This window comes from Homo sapiens, chromosome 6, assembly GCF_000001405.40.
Source record: "Homo sapiens chromosome 6, GRCh38.p14 Primary Assembly".
Classification (NCBI taxonomy): domain Eukaryota; kingdom Metazoa; phylum Chordata; class Mammalia; order Primates; family Hominidae; genus Homo; species Homo sapiens.
Window position 1 is genome coordinate 15,822,358 of NC_000006.12, and position 21,295 is coordinate 15,843,652.

Sequence of the window (21,295 nt, forward strand, 5' to 3'; positions counted from 1 at the left end):
AAGTAAAACAAACAAAAACCAAAGTAGTAGCACATCTCAGATCTTTCCCTGAGCAGTGCCTTGTGTGTCAGGGAAGTCTCTTGATTGCTAATACACAATACTTAGCAGAGATGTTTGTGCCTCACTGGAGGTCAGAAGGTCTATTCCCCAGCTGCATTAGAGTACTCCCTCTGTATAGCAGAGGAGTTAAAATCAATGAGTCTGAAAACATTTTCTTCTAAAAACTGCTTAGAATTCCTCAAAGACTCTGCATTTTTCTGAGGGGAGCATTATACATACATCCAGTGCTCATCAAGACCAATTCAGATATCCATAACACTCCTCTCCTCACTTGCTGGGTGTGTCAGTTTCCCATTGCTACTAAAACAAATTATGTAACCTTCGTGGCATCAAACAGCACAAATTTATCATCTTACAATTTGGAAGGGTAGCAATGCATTTAATATGGCCCTCAGTGGGCTAACATCAAGTTATCCACTGGGCTGTGTTCCTTCTGGAGACTCAAGGAGAGAACCTGTTTCCTTTCCATTTCCAGCTGCTAGAGGCTGTCCACTCCCTCTGTCTTCAAAGCCAACCATGTTACTTATTATATCACATCACTCTGACCTTCTCTTCTGCTTCCCTCTTGCACTTATTTTTTAAGAGATGGGGTCTTGCTGTGTTGCCCAGGCTGGAATGCAGTGGCACAATCATGGCCCACTGCAGCCTTGAACTCCTGGGCTCAAGTAATCCTCCCACCTCAGCCTCCTGAGTAGCTGAGACTGCAGTTACATGCCAGCATGCTTGGCTCCCTCTTGCACTTTTAAAGACCTTTGTGATTACCTCGGGCCCACCCTGATAATAAGGACAGCCTCCCCATCTCAAGGTCATCTGATTAGCAATCTTAATTTCATCTGCATCTTTACTTCTCCTTTGCCATGTAACCTAACCTAACACAATCATAGATTCTGTGCATGAGAATGCAGAAATCTTTGTGCAGGTATTTTTCTGTCTACCATAACCCGTAGGAAAATAATTTCCTTTTCCTTCTCTATAATCTTTATTTAATGTTACCATGGTATTTAGGATACTTCTGGCCTCAAAATAGTACTGCTTTGGTTTTCTAGAGGCCACTTCATTATTTTCCCTTTGGGCCCATAAGGGTTCTGCCTCTGGCTTTTTGCTGAGGATACGACATTTGGCATCAGATCAAAGAGTGCAAGTATCTCTTCTTCCGGGCTTTCTAAGCCTCTCTGCTCCTTAGCATGGATATTTCTATCTGGTTGCCCATAACAGACTCATCATTCCACTATGCTTCTATTTAGGGTTGTACTATATGTATTCACTCCTCTTTAGTATGGTTCCCTTGTCAGAGTAAATCCATCTTGGAGCAGAGAGCTGCTTGCCCCACTTTGACTTCGTTTCTCACAAGTCCATGGAAGCCATGCGCTGGGATAAATTTAGCTCAGCTCTTGACCCTGACAGGTCATAGAAGCTGTCCTTTATACTCCGAATTGCCTTAGGTCATTTTAATGGTAAGAAGTATTTTCTTTTAACTTTTTTCCCCTTTTCTTCCTGATGTCATTTATTATACAACATGCTTTCTTGTTCTTCCATGATCAGAACTAATCACAATAGGAAAACAGAAGACTCACCTGAGAAACACCAGGGCAGCTGAGAGCTCATAAAGAAACTGAAAACGGAACAAAATTGTGCATAGCCTGCCTTCCACATACAGACTTTGCATTTGGTAGATTATTGGTGGTTCAGTAAATGAACTTTAACATGTAAGTTATTTCTCTAGGTTTGATTGGTTCCATAATAGCATTTAGGTCCCAGTAACTTAAAAATGCCCAAATAGAAAGTTCAATGAACTCTGACCTCAAAATTCAGTGTAAATATTCTGGAACTTGGCTGGGCAGGGTGGCTCATGGCTGTAATCCCAGCACTTTGGGAGGCTGAGGCTGGTGGATCACCTGAGGTCAGGAGTTCAAGACCAGCCTGGCCAACATAGCAAAACCCCATCTCTACTAAAAAATACAAAAATTTGCCAGGCATGGTGGTGGGCACCTGTAATGCCGGCTACTTTGGAGGCTGAGGCAGGATAATTGCTTGAACCCAGGAGGTGGAGGTTGCAGTGAGCCAAAATTGTGCCACTGTACTCCAGCCTGGGCAACAGAGCAAGACTCCATCACTCTGTCTCAAAACATAGAAAAAAAAAAATTCTGGATCTTTAAGTGATCTGCATTTAGCCAAATGTGGATTCTTTTGAGATTCAAAGTGTTGCAGGAAACCCTTAGAGCCCTTTGGCCATGTGTAAAACATTACTCAGTATCAAATGAGAAAGAATAAACATGTTTGAATCACGCTGATTTAATTTTCTTTACAAAGCTGTCTGGAATCCTTGCAGCATAATCTGTTTGGGGTATCTAGAACCCAGGGATGCCATTGAATAACAAATTCCTGACTTCTGAAGATGCTCTGCATGGATGCTATGCGATGTGTTTGGTGAAACACAGCTAAACAAATTTCTTAGTTTGGGCTGCGATAACAAAGTGCTATATACTGGGTGGATTATAAATGACAGAAACTTATTTCTCACACTTCTGGAGGCTGAAAGTCTGAGATCGGGGTACCAACATGCTCAAGTTCTGGTGAGAACTCTCTTCTGTGTTGCCATCTGCTGCCTTCTCATATCCTCGTGTGGCAGAGATCAGAGACGGGAAGAAAGCTCTCACTTGACTCATATAAGAACACTAATCCCATTCATGAGGGCTCTACCCTTATGGCCTCATCTCATCCTAATTACCTCCCAAAGACCCACCTCCTTATACCATCCCATTGTGGGGTATGGTTTCAATATATGAATTTTGAGAGCACACAGACATTTAGTCTGTAACAGGATCTATGTAGTTTTTTTAAAAAACTGATCCAACAAAGGATTTTTTAAAAGCATTTCTGCTTCTTAAATCAACTCCTGGTTTTCACGAAACCCCAGACCTCTAAGGCTTCTTTCCAGCTAAACACTAAAGACAGCACCTGAGTTTCCCTCCAAAACAGATAAAATCCTGAATAAGGGCTTGAAAGGAAACAGCTAGAAGAAACGAGGTAACCTTCCTTCTGGTTTCTTCCCTTGGCGCGCACAGGCATGATGCTACAGCTCTGTACTGTCAACGCTGTCACCAGGCATCACTTCCTTATGGTTTACACTCCTCTCTTCCCATCATGTCATTTCTTAGAGCTCTGTAATCACACAGTCGTGTGCATCCATCCCCAGCTGTCAACAGGATCTTCTGAGTAAAACACAGCTAAATAAATCTCTGCAATGAGGAAGGACCGCAATCAAAGGTGAGTCTATACCAATCTCCGCCACAGTTCTGGTCAGCCTCACTCTCCCTAGACTGCTTGCTTATTCATTGCAATGCTAGTGAAACTTTGTTCTAATTGGGTGAGCTTCTCACCTTGCATTTCAAATGAAGCCCATACTCCTAGGAACCCCTGTGTTCACGTAACTTCTGGAAACCAGCATTGAAAATATGGAGAAGGCTCTCCTGTTGATCAGAGGCTTATTAGAGGCCTGTCTGTCATCATGATTCCTTCCCGTTTTCAAGCATTTAAAATGTGAGCAGCAGTTCTAGCTGATATATCGTTTGGTGGACGTCTGTGAAGGCTCAGTACTTTGCTGTTGTTGGGGGATTATCCCATGTTCCCTGTGGTAGTCAGAATATTGGCTCCCTCAGGTGCCCATGTGCTAATCCCCAGAACCTGTGAATACATCACCTTATGTGGCAAAAGGGACTTTGCAAATGTGATGTAGGTTAAGGACCTGGAGATGAGGAGATTGTGCTGGATTAGCTGGGTGGGCTCAAAGTAATCATGAGATTCCTTATAAGGGAGAGAGGGAGGCAGGAGAGTTGGAGAAGGAGAAGGAATGATGGAGGCAGAGGTGGAGAATGCAAATGGGGTCTGGGGTCTTTGAACCAAGAAACACAGCACCCCCTAGAAATTAAAAAAGACAAACAAAAAGCCCCCCAAAACCCAAAACCACCCAAATTATTTCCTAGAGCTTCCAAAAGGAAGGTGGCACCTCTGTCATCTTGAAATAGCCCAGTGAGACCCATTTCAGAATTCTGACCTCCGGCACTGTAAGATCATAAATTTGTGTTGTTTTAGGTCATAAAGTTTATGAGAATTTATAACTTCCACAACAGGAAACTAATGCTTCCCCCTAATTAGAATCTGTTTAATTAGGCTGCTTTGGTGGCAAGAATTAACAATGAACCTCAAACAATGAGGTGTTTACCTGAAGGCGACATGTGCTTAGAAACCCACCTGCTAGGAAGAGCAGGACACGGGGAAGCTCTTTCAACCACTGCAGATCTGGCGGCTCTTGGCCCCGCCAAGCTCCTCTTGATGTGTCTGTTTCTCTCTTCCAGTTGGCTCATTTTTTCCGTCTTCTCTGTGTTCGATAATTTATTCCTGGTCTCTGTTTCTTTTCAGTTCCTGCTCCCTCATAATTTTTCCCTGAAAATGGTACCTCATGGTCTCTACTCTACCCCAGAACTTTCCTTCAGCCTCAGGTCACTGTTATCTACTCTGTTCTTTCTGTCTTAGTTCTGTTCTTGAGGATGAACGTGACTGGCCGCGCTCAATCTACCATGCTAAGTCACAGCATGGGTTGCTGGCCAGACTCTCAGTGGGCTGTCCTTAGATCACATTCCTCTCTGAGTCCAGTGAGCAGAGGCCAGGACTGAGTGATGGGTTGAGAAATGTGGCTGCCCAAGAGCCATCTCATTACTGGGGTGTGGCGGATGGGAGGTTGATGGCTATTGAAGTCAATCTAGGGCATGAATAATGGACCTAGGGAGTTGCTTTTCTTTCTGAATTAAAACATCTCCACATGGAATCTGTCCCTGATAAATAGTAAAGAGGCTCGGAAAGTCTCAAGTGTAGTCCCTTTCCTCCACCCCTGCTACTTTGCTGATACTCCAAGCAAGAATGGATATCCATTTTCTGTCCCCAGAGAGCTAGGGATTTGTTACTTATTATTTTAATTATTATTATTATTAATTTTTTTTTCTGAGACAGAGTCTTACTTTGTCACCCAGGCTGGAGTGCAATGGCACCATCTCAGCTCATTGCAACCTCCGCCTCCCGGGTTCAAGCAATTCTCCTGCCTCAGCCTCCTGAGTAGCTGGGATTACAGGCACACACCCATGCCCAGCTAATTTTCGTATTTTTAGTAGAGACAGGGTTTCACCATGTTGGCCAGGCTGGTCTTGAACTCCTGACCTCAGGTGATCCACCCCCTTCAACTGCCCAAAGTGCTGAGATGACAGGCGTGGGCCACCACACCCCGCCGAGCTGGGGATGTGTAAAGGAGATATGTAATGAGGTAATGTTAGCTGTAGAGTTTGGTCCATGGCATAAAAGGCCAAATCAGGAAGGACTGGCACCAAGGCACTGAACAAAACCAACAACCTTTCTTAAGTACCTACTCTGTACCAGGCACTGTTTTAGGCGCTTGGGCTATACCTGTGAACAAAACAGCTCTCCCCTGGGAGCTGACATTCTGAGAGGAGGAGAAAGACATACAATAATAGTCAGTCTCTCAGTGAGGCTGACCACTCATTAGACATCCAGTCATAGGCACCCAGAGGAAGTCTTGGCAAGCGTGTGAAGTATCAGAAGAGAAGAGCCAGGCAGCAGTTCCTGGGCAGGGGTCCAGGCCTGGGGCAGGGAAAGGGAGGCCAAGGAGACCTGGCACTAGGGGCTGCAGGGTGTCAGAAGGTACGGGAGTGCCATCCTGGGGGCTTCATGTCACAGCCATTATGGAGAAGACCAAGACAGCTGGTGGGCTATGGCGAAAGGGACTTGACAGTGAGGATTAAAGTGCCAAAATGAAACCTCTGTCTTCTGAGAACTGGTTGCAATATGGAGAAGTTTGTAAAGCGTGGAAGCGTGGGGACAATGCTGACAATGGGATGCAGTTTAGGGGCTTGGTTTCTGAGGAATGGGACAACCTCACCTCGGGTCAGAATGGAGTCAGGATTCTGCACCCCTGACTTTGGGGCTTCTCAGTCCCTTCTCAGAATCTGGAGTTGGGCAGAACTTGGAGACATACTAACCAGGCCCATAGGCCTGAGTGGCCCCAGCTGTGCCACCTGGACTACAGAGGGCAGGCGGGAATCAGGCAGGTCCTTACAATCAGGGCTGATCCCTGGTTGTTCTTCTCCTTGTGTGACCTGAGACCTGCCTTGGGTTATTAGTTCTGACCACTAGGGCCATGAACAGCAAGTCTAAATCTTTCAAACAGCAGCCTTCCAATTATTTAAGGCTCTTATCGCAGTATTCTGGGCAGTGATTTTTCAAACTTTATAAGCAAGAGAAGCCCCCTCTCCCCACTGCTCACCACTCTTTGATGTGAATCTTATGCTACAGTCCAAATGTAAAGCAGAGAAAAGCAGAGCTGCTCCCTCTCTACCTGGGTTAGGGACCTGTTGTCCCACCCACTCCCTCTCTGCTCCCTGTATCTTGGCAGCCCCTTGGGCATCCCTGTGAAATTTTCAATGCACTTTGAAAGCCACTCCCTGAGACTTCTGTTTTTTAGGCTGAATACCTCTAGTTCCCTCCATAACTCCTCTGTATATCTATAAGCTTCCACAACCTTCACCAACCTGGTGAATACCAGGTGAACTGTATTTTGTCAGCATGTACTCGGGGACCATAAGTAGTCTGACCACCACAGCTCAGACCTTCTGTGAGCTAGACTCCTGGACACCCTGGAGTCCTTCCTTCCATGTGTATATATCTGCCCATCTACATTTTTGGTGTTCATTAGTTCATTTCATAAACACTTAACAGATCTGATAAAAGAAAAACTTCAGCTGAATTAAATTTAAAGAAGTTTCATTGAGCAATGAACGACTCACTAATTGAGCAGCCTTCCAGGCCAGAGAAGGCTCAGAGACTCCAGCGCAGCCACGTAGTAGAAAAAGATTTATGGACAGGAAAAGGAAAGTGATGTACAGAAAACAGAAGTGAGGTACAGAAACGGCAGGATTGGTTACAAGTTGGCATTTGCCTTGTTTGAACATGGTTCAAACAGCTGGCTACATTTGATTGGCCAAAACTTGAAGATTGGCACAAGCATAGGCTATGGTCTGTTTACACCTCCACTTGCTATAGTTTGTGATGTACAGAAAAACCTTTAGGCCAAACTTAAAATATGCAAGGAAGCAGCTTTAGGCTAAACTTGATTTAACAGATCCCAACTATGAGGTTTAATATTAAGCCTTCTATGTTAAGAACTGGAGTTAAAGGGAAAAATTAAATATGGTCTTTATGTTGAAGGGGGTTGAGGAAGGTTGGGGAGAGGTTTGCTTGGCTCTAGTTGGTAAGTGCTATGATAACTATCTGTCAAGGTGCAGGACACAGGCCAGTGATTCTACCTGTGGGGGGCTGGAGAGGGCCTCCTCCCAACCAACTGGCTTCACCAGCCTCTCTTCTAGCTCTGCATTCCAGTCCCTAGCTGTGTGACCTGGGGTAGATCACATACCTCTATGCATCCTCACCTGTTTTGTCTTGTTTAATATGAGGAAATTTGACCCAAATATTTCCAAAGTCCTTCCATGTTCCATCCCATGTGCCAGTTGTGATAGTTTGCAGCTTCTGATTTGGTACTGCCAGCTGGAGCTTGGGATGCATTTTTCTCATTTAGACACATTCTCCAGTAGTGGTTAGGAGTACTTTGTTAGAAGCTCAACAGTATCTTGAAATCTGACAGTAGCATTTCTCAGAGGAATATTCATGATCCTTGGGATTAAGACCTTATTTTTCCAGAATTCAGAAAATCCTCTGAACTCGTCATTCATAGCCTCACATTACCTCTGCTTGGCAGCTCTTATTTCATGTTGGGACCCTTAAACTTAGTCACTAATTCTGACAACACTCCTACTCTTGTATCCTGGATCAGCACAAGTATTTGCTTTCATTCTGGCCTAAATCTCCATCCCATCCCCATTTCTGATTTTGATCTTTTTAGATCTCAGCCAGTGTATTGTGCAGACAGACTCTTGGTGCTGTGTGTAAGTAGAACCTAACTACCATTACAACACTCCCTATGCTCAATCAAGTTTGTGGTGTAGAACAACTGACTTCTGAACAAATTTGGAACATGGCCCCTTTAGAAGTCCAGGACTTTCTATTAACTTTTGCTTATTTTTCTTTTTTTCAGTCTTAATGTATTTACCCTCTGGCCAGTCATCCAGTGATCACTTACATCAAACTTAGCATGAAAAGATTTTTTAAGTTGAAAATGTATGTCGATTTTACTTTAAGAGAATCGGTTCTTCTGTTCACCTAAACTATACTTAATTTTCTCTTCTTGGTAAAGGTGATGTCTTTTTTCTCTAATACTAGATATTCAAATTTCCTACCAGTTAAACATCGCTTATCTTGTTTATTTTGTACACACACTCCAAAGGTGCTTACTTGCGGTTATTAATGCCATATAACTCTGAATCCCTCAGCCCTTCTTCTTTGGACATGATTTGTATCCCTCTGGGACTCTGGAACTTTCAGATGTTACTCAAGGGAGATTTTTGAGATTTCTGGTCATTAGATATCCCCATTTAATTCCAAGTAGGGATGTCTAGTGATTTTTTTCTTTTATATTTATGACTTTTGAGAGCATAATTTGTTGTCTTGGTTTTCAGATTCCTTTGAGTTGTAAGGGTTTCTGATTTGAGAACTTCAACTTTGTTTCTCTTAGCAACCCTAATTTCAATCTTAATCTTCAATCTTTCTAACATAGCACAGTCTTCCAAGATAATGTTTTGTATCAGCATCCTAAAAGAGAAAGAAGAAAATATACAAAACGAGAGCTGTGTTGTGGCAAGCATGCATAAGACTATAATCATATATACCATCTTTACACTATACCCTAGTCCATAAAACTCCTTTGTGTATGCCCTTTTATATATAGTGCATTTAAGAGTTTTGAGAGAGAGAAAGGGGAGAATCTACCAAGCTTTGGCTCTCACAGCGTTCCTTTTTCATGTCTTTGTCTCTTAAGGCTTCTCATTCTTATCCTTCTTAAAGGTAAATATGACCTTCTCATAACAACTGCAAGTGAAGTGAAAGGCACCTTTCACTACCTTTCTCACCATTGTCTTTATCTGAATTGTAGCCCGAATATATTAATATGATATATTTGGTCATTGTTCTATACAAATAAGCAAACAAAAACCCAAACTCAATTGAGACAATTTGACTGTGATTGTCTATTCACCAGACAGAACATTTTTTTTCTAAAGAAATTGGAAATTCTTTAAGCAGTAGTCTGTTCTGGAGAGTCCTTAGAGACTACAGCTGTTCTGCTCCTAGCTCTATAGTCTTCACCTTCTGTTTGTTCCCTCCTTTCTTGTTTTGTTATCCTTTAACACTGAATATACTGCTGAACTTTTAATGATGTTCTTTTCTATTTTTAGATTTTTCTTTTGCATTTTTTTCCTCCCCTGAGAATGGTGCACATTTGAAAGCTGACTTTGAATTCATGAGAGCACTGTGTTTTCAGTACAGATTTTCTGCTTTGCTCCTCTTCTTGGTGTAAGTGAGCTGACTCTGCCCCAGGGCCGTCCCAACTGCAGAATGTGCCCTTGTTCCCTCAAGGCTTATTATCACCATTTCACAGAGAGGAAGAAAATATTGGCCGGGCACGGTGGCTCACGCCTGTAATCCTAGCACTTTGGGAGGCCGAAGCAGGCGGATTACGAGGTCAGGAGATCGAGACTATCCTGGCTAACATGGTGAAACCCCGTCTCTACTAAAAATACAAAAAATTAGCCGGGCGTGGTGGTGGGCACCTGTAGTCCCAGCTACTCGGGAGGCTGACTCTGGAGGCTGAGGCAGGAGAATGGCGTGAACCCGGGAGGCGGAGCTTGCAGTGAGCTGAGATCGCGCCACTGTACTCCAGCCTGGGCGATAGGCAAGTCTCCATCTTAAAAAAAAAAAAAAAAAAAAAGGAAAAAGAAAATATTGCTATGCTGGTTTCAGCAGAGCCAATCTCACTGAAGAATAGAAAGTTGTAGCCGGGCACTGTGGCTCATGCCTGTAATCCCAGCACTTTGGGAAGCCGAGACGGGCAGATCACGAGGTCAGGAGTTCGAGACCAGCCTGACCAACATGTGAAACCCCGTTTCTACTAAAAATACAAAAATTAGCCAGGCGTGGTGGTGCATGCCTGTAATCCCAGCTACTTGGAAGGCCGAAGCAGGAGTATTGTTTGAACCCGGGAGGTGGAGGTTGCCATGAGCTGAGATTGTGCCACTGCATTCCAGCCTGGGCAACAGAGCGAGACTCCGTCTCAAAAAAAAAAAAAAAAAAAAAAAAAAAAAAAAAAAAAAAAGAAAGCGGTTACCTCCTTACTTGTTCTACAGGGTTGGAATCAAATAAGATAGCAGAGTGGCAAATATAGGCAGCTTTATGGCATAAGGTATGGTGTAATTATAGTTTATCTATTATAGTATTATTAGTATTATGCATGTTTGCTACAACACAGCTCTCTTTGTGTATATTTTGTTCTCATTTTCTCTCTCTTTTAGGGGTCTGTTACTTAACTTTATCTTGGAAGACTATGTGCTGTGTTAGAAAGAACATAAAACTGAAAGCTAGAAAATCCCAGTACTAATCCTGGCTTCATGAACTGTAATGTGACATATAAATGCTGGTTATTGTTGCTACTATTAACAACAATAGCCAGGAATGTATTGAGTGCCTGCTGTGGGTTAAGCTTTTTACATGTGTTAGTTCATTTAATCCTCATGACAGCCCCTTAAAGGGGGTCGTTATTATATTATCTTCATATGACAGGAGAGGAAATCAAGCTTTAGAGAGGTTACCCAACATCACACCTCTAGTAAGTGGTATTCAGACTCAGGTTTGTATGATTCAGAGCTCCTAGTCATTGCTACCACACCTCATCTTTTTTTAGTATTATTGATAACTATAGCAAGAATAAGGGTAATGCATGCAGGTCAATGCTGCATGATCATCTACTTTATCCCTTTCCAAATTGGTAGAACCAACTGTTTGACTTTGAAGCTAAAATGAATCCCAAGGATCACTTAGTGGAGCCTCCTCAATTCACAATTGAGGAAACTAAAGCCCCAAGAAAGGAAATGCCTTTTCTAAGCTGACAGTAAACTCCAGTGTGGACACCTGAACCTCCGAACCATCTGACTGTATGTGAACACAATTTCCTGCTTTCTTCTCATTCACCATGCAACTGATGATCACATTTGTGTATTCCTCTCCCAGGGACTACAGATCTGATACTTTGGGTGGATGTCAGAGATCCACATGATTTAAAGCAGGAAATCAGGCCTGGTCTTTTCAAGGTCTTAGGTTCGCCAGGTGGGTGACTTCCATGCTGTCTTTACAAGTGACAATTTCCCAAAGGGATAAACTCACCACATACTGTCTCTCATTTTATTGCCCTGTTGGCTTTCTTATGCACTCTGTCAGTGTCCACAACCGTCTTCATAATAGGATCAACACTGACACTTGAGATACTATAGTCCAATAAATTGAAGGTCTCCAACTCATGACTCCTTGTATCAAGTAGGATACAATCTGCTGCAAGGGACAAATAACGAATCAAAAATTGAGACTCATTAAGCTTAAATAATAAGAGGTTTGTTATCAAAGAAATCAGGAGGTCTGGAAGAAGAGGCATGCTGGTGATGGTCAGCTAAGTGGCTCCATGACATTTAGGACCTATGTTCTTTCCACCTTTCTGCTCTGCCAACCTCAGTTGTCACTTAGCTCCCTCCAGGTTTCAAAATGGCTACAGCAGTTCCAGGCATCCCATCCTCACATCAGCCAATGTCCGGAGGCAGAAAATAGTGACTGTCTCATCCTTGCATAAAAGCAAAGAAGTCATTCCCAGGAATCACCCCCTGCTAACTGGCCAGCAGAGGGTCATATGTCATTTCCTAAGTCCATCACTAGCAAGGGAATATAATTTCCATGACTGGTTTAAACTAATTAAAATCTACCTGTATGGGGATGAGAGGGGCCTAGCCTTTCCAGAGGTCTTATAGAGGAATGTGGATTCTTGAAGAACTTCAAGGTTCTGATGGCAAGGAAGAAATGGGAATGGTGACTGATTAGGCATTTTGATATACTATCATCCTAAAATCATTTTAAACTAAAAAGTAAAGCATCATCACATTATGGAACTTGTCCTTTTTCCTTACTCAGTTACATCAAAAATGTCTGTCAGAAAACTAAGACAATTTTGGCCAAGTTTGGTGGCTCACTCCTAGCAGTTTAGGAGGCCGAGGCAGGTGGATTTCTTGAGCTCAGGAGTTCAAAATCAGCCTGGGAAACATGGCGAAACCCCATCTCTACAAAAAATACAAAAATTGACTGGGCCTGGGAGAACACACTGTAGTCCCAGCTACTTGGGAGGCAGAGGCATGAGGACCACCTAACCCCAGGGAGGCTGTAGTAAGCCGTGATCGCACCATTGAGCTCCAGCCTGGGTGACATATTGAGACCATGTCTTAAGAAAGAAAAAAAAAAGAAAAGAAAATTAAGAAAAATTTAATAGTAAATTAGGAAAAAAAAGTGCTCAGTGTTGGTGGGGGTGTATTGATGTAACCTTACTCATTGTTGAGAACACCACAAATGACATTCAACCTTTTGGAAATCCACTTGACAATACATATGGAGGCACAACAATATTCATGTGACCTAGTAATTTTACTTCTAAGAAATCAATCCAAAGTAGAGAAAAACTGTCAACACAAAGATATTCTAGTATTATTCAAGGCAACAAAAATTTGGCAACAACTAATGGGGTGTGCCATGGCATAGTGGAAAAGGCAGTGACTTGGGATTCAGCAAGCTTGAGCACAGCTCTTACTTTTACCACCTACTTGTAGCCAACCACTACACTTGTCTGAATTTGCAACAGCAATTATTATATTCGAGTTGTGGGATTGTTCAAGGGTTAAAGAAAATGAATACAGAGCCCTAATTACATAGTAGGCACACAATAAGGGGTACACACACACCATCTAAAACCAAGGAAATCGACCAGGTGCTGTGGCTCATGCCTATAAACCCAGCACTTTGGGAGGCCGAGGTGGGTGGATCGCCCGAGGTCAGGAGTTTGAGACCAGCCTAGCCAATATGGTGAAAGCTCATCTCTACTAAAAATACAAAAATTAGCTGGGTGTAGTGGCACATGTCTGTAATCCCAGATACTTGGGAGGTTGAACTTCTTGAGCCTGGGAGGTGGAGGTTGCAGTGAGCCAAGATCATGCCACTGCACTCCAGCCTAGGCAACAGACTGAGACTCCATCCAAAAAAAAAAAAAAAAAAAACCAAGGAAATCAAGGTTAACTCCTTTATAGACTTATGCAGGCATTAATATTTATATTAATTAAGACTTTCAACCAGCAGAAAAACCTGTTAATACAATAATAGTAAATGAAAAATCAGGATAACAAATTACTACCATGTTTAAATTAATCCTACACAATGAAAAAAATCCTCACATGCCAACATGCTGATAGGGTTATGTTAGGCTTAATAGGATGATGGGTAATATCCCCTCATTTTTTCTGTATCCTGACATTACATTTATAGTAAAAATAGTTTTTAAAAATACAAACCTATAAAAGAGTCTGAGACAGTCTTTTAGTATTTACTTTTCCCTTTTCCTTCTCTGTGAACACATCTGAGAAAAATTCTGCCACCCCTTTTTGGTGGTCTAATCTAGATGTATCCAAGATTGAGCTTTCTGTCCCGTTTTCTGCATCAGTTGATTTCTTTTCATGTTTTTCTAGGAAAGTTTTCTTCTGCTGTTTCCCCCTTTCTAGCTTTCTTCATGCACATTGGCCTCATTGTGTTAGTGTAATTTTCCCTCTCCGATATTCTGTCAATATTCTCTGTGAGCCTTTCATTCGTTCTTCATTCCTATTTTGTCTCTTAAATTGCCTTGCATTGATTCTACTCCTCACCGTCTTCTTCATGTCTTTTTTCCTGCAATTGCCTATCGATCTTGTCTATCTTGAAGGCTGAGAAGGACTTTCTGTTCATTAATTACTTGGCTTACTTTCACCTATTCTCCTCCTGTCTAGAAAATTACTCATCTCCATACACCCTTAGCAAGACTACTGAGATGTGCTCAAATTGCTGGAAAGCTAAAGAACAAGGTCAGAAGGCAGGTAGGAGCCACGGGAAGCTGAGTAGCTTTGAGGTCATGCCATAGAAGCAGTCTGGCTAGGACACTGTCACAGGCGTAGCAGCTATTGTCACTGCTGGACATTGTCACTGAAAATGGATTTAAACTGCCCTTGTGCTTTCATACTCAGCTGAGAATCAGAGTTGGGGTTGGAACACCTGACAGATGGATCTAGGTCAGGTGTCCATACCCTTCTGGCTGCCAGTGGGGAGACCGGTCTTCCCTGTTTGGCTTTCATGGTGGGAGATTGGACAGCCAAGCCTCATACAAAGAAAGGTCCCCGCCATGGGAAGAAAGTTCAGATCCTGACCGAGAATAAACAAATAAGTAAAAACAGAAAACCAGTGTCTTCTGCACTTTTCAGAATCCCGTGGTCCCAAAGGCAAAGAGCCTGGACTTTATACTGTTATTCTACAGTGCAGATACCTTCTGTTAAGTAGAATTCACCTATGCAGCATTTTCTTTTTGCCTTTTCATGAGGAATTCTCTAGCTCTGGCATCGTATTGCGAGCTAAGAGGATACCTTTCACTTTCCTCTTATTACTATAATGACCTTACTTCACGCTGGGTTTTGCTTATCTCTCTCCACAAAGGCAGCTTTTTCTGTAATGGCTTGGTCCATTGCTGATTCTCAAGCATGTCTGTCTCTTCTCCCATACCGACCCCTCCCTGGCATATGCACCGTTCGGCAGAATGTTAACTAACGCTCTTTTTCCATTAAACTAAAAGCTCCTTGAGGGCACATATTGCCTCTTTACCCTTAACACCTAGTACTGGGCCTGGCACATATCATACATAATGAATGAATGAATGAATGAATGAATGAATGAATGAATGAATAAACACATGTTCCCTCTTCTGTATTTTTAGTTCAGTGTTTTACAGCAAACACGTGTCCTGTATTTCCTGGAACCATTGGTGGTGAAATTTTCTTCTTTTCAATAAAAAATACTCGTTAACTGTCTAACTAGATATGCTTCATTTCTGTACAATTATAAAGCTTTCTTTATCAATACCTTCTTAGGTCATAGATGATTCATTGTGAAGCCACATTTCAATTTTGGTTCAGAAAAAGGTAATTCCTGTAATTATCATCAGAGATAGCATACAATTCTTGAAATGCTATTTAAAAAAAGGAAAAGCACCTTGTACAATTTCTTCTCACAAAGACCAAAAATAAAACCTCAAATGGAAATGTTTGAGTCTTAAATATATGTCTCTTGTTACCTTATCTATTTTTTATGACAAATGTAAGGGAGTGGGGATGTTAGCTTATGCGGAAGCCAGATCTATTACTGGGGTCAGATTTCTTTGTAGACTGTTGGGCAGCTCCCTGATGGATGTCCCCTATATGGGGCTCCCACTCAATATCTGGCCTGTGTCCTTTGGCCTGAAGGATGTGTTCTGCAACCATAACTCAGGGAAATAATTCTCCACCCTATCTGACCACCTTTTGATGATTACATTCTTTAACGACTTCTTTTACTATTCTAAAATAAAATTCATGAGAAACATAACCTATCTACACACACATTTTTAAAAACACCAAAAAATACTCTAACTGGAATATAAAGAAGACATAAAAGGAGATTAATTTATGATGCACTCTTGTGCATTTCAATAAGTATTAAAGGCTCAACACAACCATTCTAGAAGACAAAAGGAAGTCATAAGACACTTCACCTCTCAGCATGAATGTGTGGCAGCTAGGAGCACAGGTGAGTAGAGGTGTGTATGTGGAATGGTGAATACTATTGGCTATATTCCAAATAAAACTTAATAAAAGCTTCCCTTAATTCATATAGTAGGTGTATTACTGGGAAATTCACTAATTAAAAACTATGCCCCAGCACTTTGGGAGGCTGAGGCGGGCAGATCACGAGGTCAGGAGTTCAAAACAAGCCTGGCCAACATAGTGAAACCCCGTCTCTACTAAAAATACAAAAAAATTAGCTGGCATGGTGACAGGCCATTTGTAATCCCAGCTATTCGGGAGGCTGAAGCAGGAGAATTGCTTTGAACCCAGGAGGTGGAGGTTGCAGTGAGCAGAGATGGTGCCACTGTACTCCAGCCTGGGCGACAGTGCGAGACTGTGTCTCAAAAAACAAACAAACAAAAAAACTATGCCAAAATTTTGGGGGCTTGTGTGCAAAATAGAGTAAGGATCTATGTTCAAAAAATTGGAAAACTTTTTATATTTTTATTATGAAAAATTTCAGACATATAGAAGAGTTGAAAGAATAGCACAATAAATACTGGTATATATCCAAAAAGGTTGAACACAAATTCAACCATTTTTTTCCCAGAATCATTTGAAAGTGATGAAACATATCACAATTTATTTCACTATGTAGCTTCTAAAAATGACATTGTCCTACATATTTATGATACCATTATAACATCTAAGAAAATTAACAATTTCATAATACCGCCTGATATCTAGTCCATAAACAAATTTCTCCAGTTGACCCAAGCATTATTTTCAAGGCTGATTTTTAAAAATCAGGATCCAATCAGCATTCACCCATTATATTTGTTATATTTTACTAGTTTCTTTTAATCTAGAATAATCCCTTCATCTTTTTCTCCCATGACATTGATTTTTTTTTACACATCTGCCATTGGTTTTTGAAAACAAATTTGCCTTTCCTTTCTTATAATTGGAATCAATCATTCATCCAAGGATCTCTAATTCCATGGACAGAGCTAAGGCTGTGTGTGTACTTTTTTGTAATTGAGTTCATAAGCTACTTCCAATTCAAATAAAACATTGCAGAGATTTATCCTTTACATCTATTTTCTTAAGTTGACAATTTTGGTTCCTAATAACGTATATTCACTTATTTACTTTCGCCCTCAACATTAAAAAAATACTTTAAAAAAGACCATACCTGTAGATGTTATGTACATCCTGAAGTCTGTTCATATCAGTCTATCTAATTCTTTTCTTAATGGCTACATTATATTGTATTGTGTAGACGCACCTTAGTTTATTCAACCAGTGACACATTTATGGATGTTTGTATTGCTTCTAATCTTTTTAAAATTACAACAAATGCTGCCATTAATAACCCTGTATACATACTATTTTGTATTTGTGGAGGGGTAACTTACGAGTGGATTCTAGAAGTGGGATCACTGGGCAAACATTTAGAGTTTTAGAGTTTGCCAAATTCTCCTCCATAGAAGTTGCACCATTTTGCCTCCCCACCAGCAGTGTATAATAACATGTTACAAAAGGTTTTTCGTCTACACAAACATCCATATTGTACTGAAAAAGCCATGAGGGATACAGGACAATCCTTCCTTGGACATGGGGCAGTTCTCTATTCTGTGCACTGTCTGCCCACTGCAGGGTGTTGACTGTCCCTGGGCTCTGCCCTCTAACTCCCAGGAGGACCCTCACTTTACAACAACCCCAAAACTCCAGTGCAAATGCCCAAAATGCTCCATTAAGAGCGCCTCTGCTCCAGATACTCTAAAATCTACTCTTGGGATGAAGACAGGCCCTTAGAAAGCTGTGTAGTCAGGCCACATGGTTTTTTGCTTCCCGTATAATTGTTTTTGCTGACTTGCACTTGACATTATTGTATTTGCCAAGGACATGAGGTGAAGCAGCCCTATGAAGCTGCAAGTCAGAACTTCTGTGGGGATGCTCTTGCTCACGACATCCTACTGGGCTCTCTTTCCAAGGACACTGGGAGAAATGCCTCTCTCGTATAGATCCTGGGAGAGTTTTGTTTCTCTTGCCATTGTCCTCTGAATACAATGCATCACAAACTTGATCTCGCTCTCCTGTTTGTACTGGATGCTAGAACATGACTAGGCCAGTCTGTGCTCTGTTTCTGGCTTGGACACAGGATTTTACAATGGCATTTTGTGGACAAACCATCCCTAGATCTATCTTATTTTCCTATAGTCTTCATTTCTCCTTGTCTTATTTTCCTGACTCACCTTTTTAAAAAAATCAGTGGATTATATGATTTTCTAGTGTAATTAAATGATTTTCTAAGTTGCCTTGAAGAAATAAAAATTCAGCACCAGCCTCACAGAATTGTTGTCAGGATTATGCATGTAGGGCAGCTAGCCATGCCTGGCAGAAAAAAGGAGCAAGTAGTCCCTGCATCAGTCCTGTGTTCCTATCCCTCCACCTCCACCCCATACCCCTCCCACCAAAGCACACCTGCTCTCCACGACTAATGACAATGTCCGTGGATTCACTGAGTCCTACTTCTCCCTTTCTAGTTAGGTGCCCAGATGAGCTTTTGTTTTTGTTTTTGTTTTGTTTTTTTTGAGATGGAGTCTCACTGCAACACTCAGGCTGGAGTGCAACTGTGCCATCTTGGCTCACTGCAACCTCCACTTCCTGGGTTCGAGCAATTCTCCTGCCTCAGCCTCCTGAGTAGCTGGGACTACAGGTGCCTGCCGCCACGCCTGGCTAATTTTCATATTTTTAGTAGAGACGGGGTTTCACCATATTGGCCAGGCTGGTCTCGAACTCCTGACCTCAAGTGATCTGCCCCCCCCTTGGCCTCCCAAAGTGCTGGGATTACAGGTGTGAGCCTGGTCAAGATGAGCTTTTGAACGTGAACAAAATGTGTGTGTCTGCATGACATGGGCCACACAGTAGGTTACTTTCTTTACAGCACGACAGTAAATGTTTTTTCTGCATTAAGGAATGGATAGCTGTTCTTGTATCTGAAGATACTTGAACACGAGTGTATTAGTCAGGGTTCTCCAGAGAAACAGAACCAATAAGAGATATCTGTATATAAGTCTATATAGAGAACTATAGATAGATCATACAGGTATAGATACATAGAGAAAGAGTTGAAAAAACCAACTGTTTTTCCCATTATACTCTCACAACACAGAATGCTCCTGTAACCAAATGTGTGTGGGTTCCCCCCACCCCCAACTCCCCGCCACACCCAACAAGTGAGCAATTCTGCGGCAGACATCAGCTGGGTTTGCTCTAATTCAATTCAATTCAATGCTGATACTCCCTATCTACCTGCGGGGAGATCCCACAGGGTGAGAGCTCAGTCCCACAAGACTGCTCTGCCCTTCAGACTCCATTTGTGAGTCCCGGACTTCCAGAACTTCTGGCCAACAGGCTATACATTGGGGTGCCCATGACCCTTTCCTCAGATGTAATTAATGTGCTAGGGTGGTTCACAGAACTCAGGGAAACACTCTAACAGTTCCCCGTGTATTACAAAGGTGATTTTAAAGGATACAAGGGAGCAGCCGGATGAAGAGATACAGAGAACGTGGTCTGGAAGGGTCTTGAGTGCACGAGCTTCTGTCCCCGTGTAGTAGTTGGGAGCCATCCTCCTGGTATGCGGATGAGTTCTTGTTTACCAACCTGGAAGCCCCCTGAACTCAGTACTTCTGGGTTTTTATAGAAACTTTGTTATATAGCATGATTGATTATATCATTGGCCATTGGTGATCAACTCGACCTTCAGCCCCTCTCCCCTCCCCAGAGGTGGAGCGAGGGACTGAAAGTTCCAATCCTCTAACACTTGGCTGGTTCCCGTGGCAACCAGCCCCCATCCTGATGCTATCTAGAGGTCCCCAGCTGACTAGTTATCTCATTAGCACACACAAAATACTCTTATGACTCCAGAGACTCAAAGGATTTTAGGAGCTGTACATAAGGAAACTGGGAAAAAGATCAAATATATATATATATTTTACATCATCACATACACATATAAAAAGATATTTGTTATAAGAAATCAGCTCACATCTCACATGATTATGGAGATTGAGAAGTCCCGAAGTCTGCAGTTGGCAAGCCGCAGACCCAGAAGACCGGATGGTGCAATTCCAGTCTGGGTCTAAAGGCCTGAGAATCAGAAGAGCTGACAGTGTGAGCTCCAGCCTGAAAGCCAGCAGGCTTGAGATCCGGGAAGAGCCAATGTTTCAGTTTGAGTCCAAAGGCAAGAAAAAATCCAATGTCCCAGCTCACAGGCAGTCAGACAGGATGAGTTCCTGCTGTCTCAATCTTTCTGTTCCATTCAGGTCTTCAGCCGATTGCATGAGGCCCATTCACATGAATCTGCTGTACTCAGGCTACTGATCCAAATGTTAATCTCATCACAGAAACACCCAGAATAATGTTTGGCAAAATGTCTGGGCATCCCGTGGCCCAGTCAAATTGACACATACAATTCACCGTCACAATGGGGATCTCTTCAGTGGGCCCAGAGTGCAGTGCCTGGACTTATGAAGGAGCATGGGGCAGGTGGTTTATTGCAGTTGATCACCCTTTCCCTTCATCCTTCTCTACCCTAACATTTCTCATTCCAGCTCCTTCTGCCTTTCTGGCTTTCTTGCCTGGATGACTCAGAACGCTGGCCCCTATTCACCCACATGTAACTTGGTCAACTTTATTGTAATCATGATATTTTTTCTGGGAATGTATGCCCTTTTATTCTTCAGGCTGCCTGGTAATTTTACTGCAAAATCAAGCCAGCAATTTTCCCTTATTTTTTTCTCTAGAGATTCCTGTCCAAATGCATCATTTATTACCTTGTTTCCAAGATGCATTTCATACTCTTCAATCTCAGAAATCTGATATCCTGAAAAATTTCTTGCAGAGAGCCCCAGGAGCTCTTGCTGATGTTGCCACTGGATTTTCCCCCCGGATACAGAGCACTCTGAGTTGAAAAAAAAAACTTCCTGTCCTAAAGAAACATAGGATCTCACTGAGGGGGTCTAGGGTGGGGAAAGGAAGGATCTTTTCATTCAAAAGCAAAACAACTGAGTAACTGTTTTCAACATGGTAAAATAGCAGCTACTGTCGCTGTTGTTTCAGACATTATAAAAATGTCTTGTCATAGATAAATTATGGTCATGGTACATAAATGACCTCTTTGATTTCTTAAAAACCAATTTATGGTCATGCCTTTGTTAAAGGCATTGTTAACGTCCATTGGGCAGAAAGGACGTTAGAGTTTTTCTGGTGACATAGGCCACAGAGTCAAGTGACTTCCCTAAAGCCACACAGCTAGTTATGGGCAAAGCCGGGAAGACCACTCAGGTATTCTT

The 21,295-nt window shown here is 42.2% G+C and overlaps 1 long non-coding RNA gene across 1 annotated transcript, besides 1 other annotated feature; it reads right to left on the reverse strand.

The window, feature by feature from the left end:
- Nucleotides 1-7,935: 7,935 nt before the first annotated feature.
- LOC105374948 (uncharacterized) lies at nucleotides 7,936-12,106 on the reverse strand. Its single transcript, XR_926530.3, has 3 exons — nucleotides 12,039-12,106; nucleotides 11,452-11,616; nucleotides 7,936-8,829 (listed from the first exon to the last, which is right to left on the reverse strand). It is a non-coding gene; the product is annotated as an uncharacterized LOC105374948 (long non-coding RNA).
- Nucleotides 20,027-20,227: a silencer, noted in NCBI's record as "peak5691 fragment used in MPRA reporter construct". NCBI's record gives its function as "represses an SCP1 promoter by STARR-seq MPRAs in K562 erythroleukemia cells {active_cell/tissue: K562}" and the evidence as "EXISTENCE:reporter gene assay evidence [ECO:0000049][PMID:32103011]".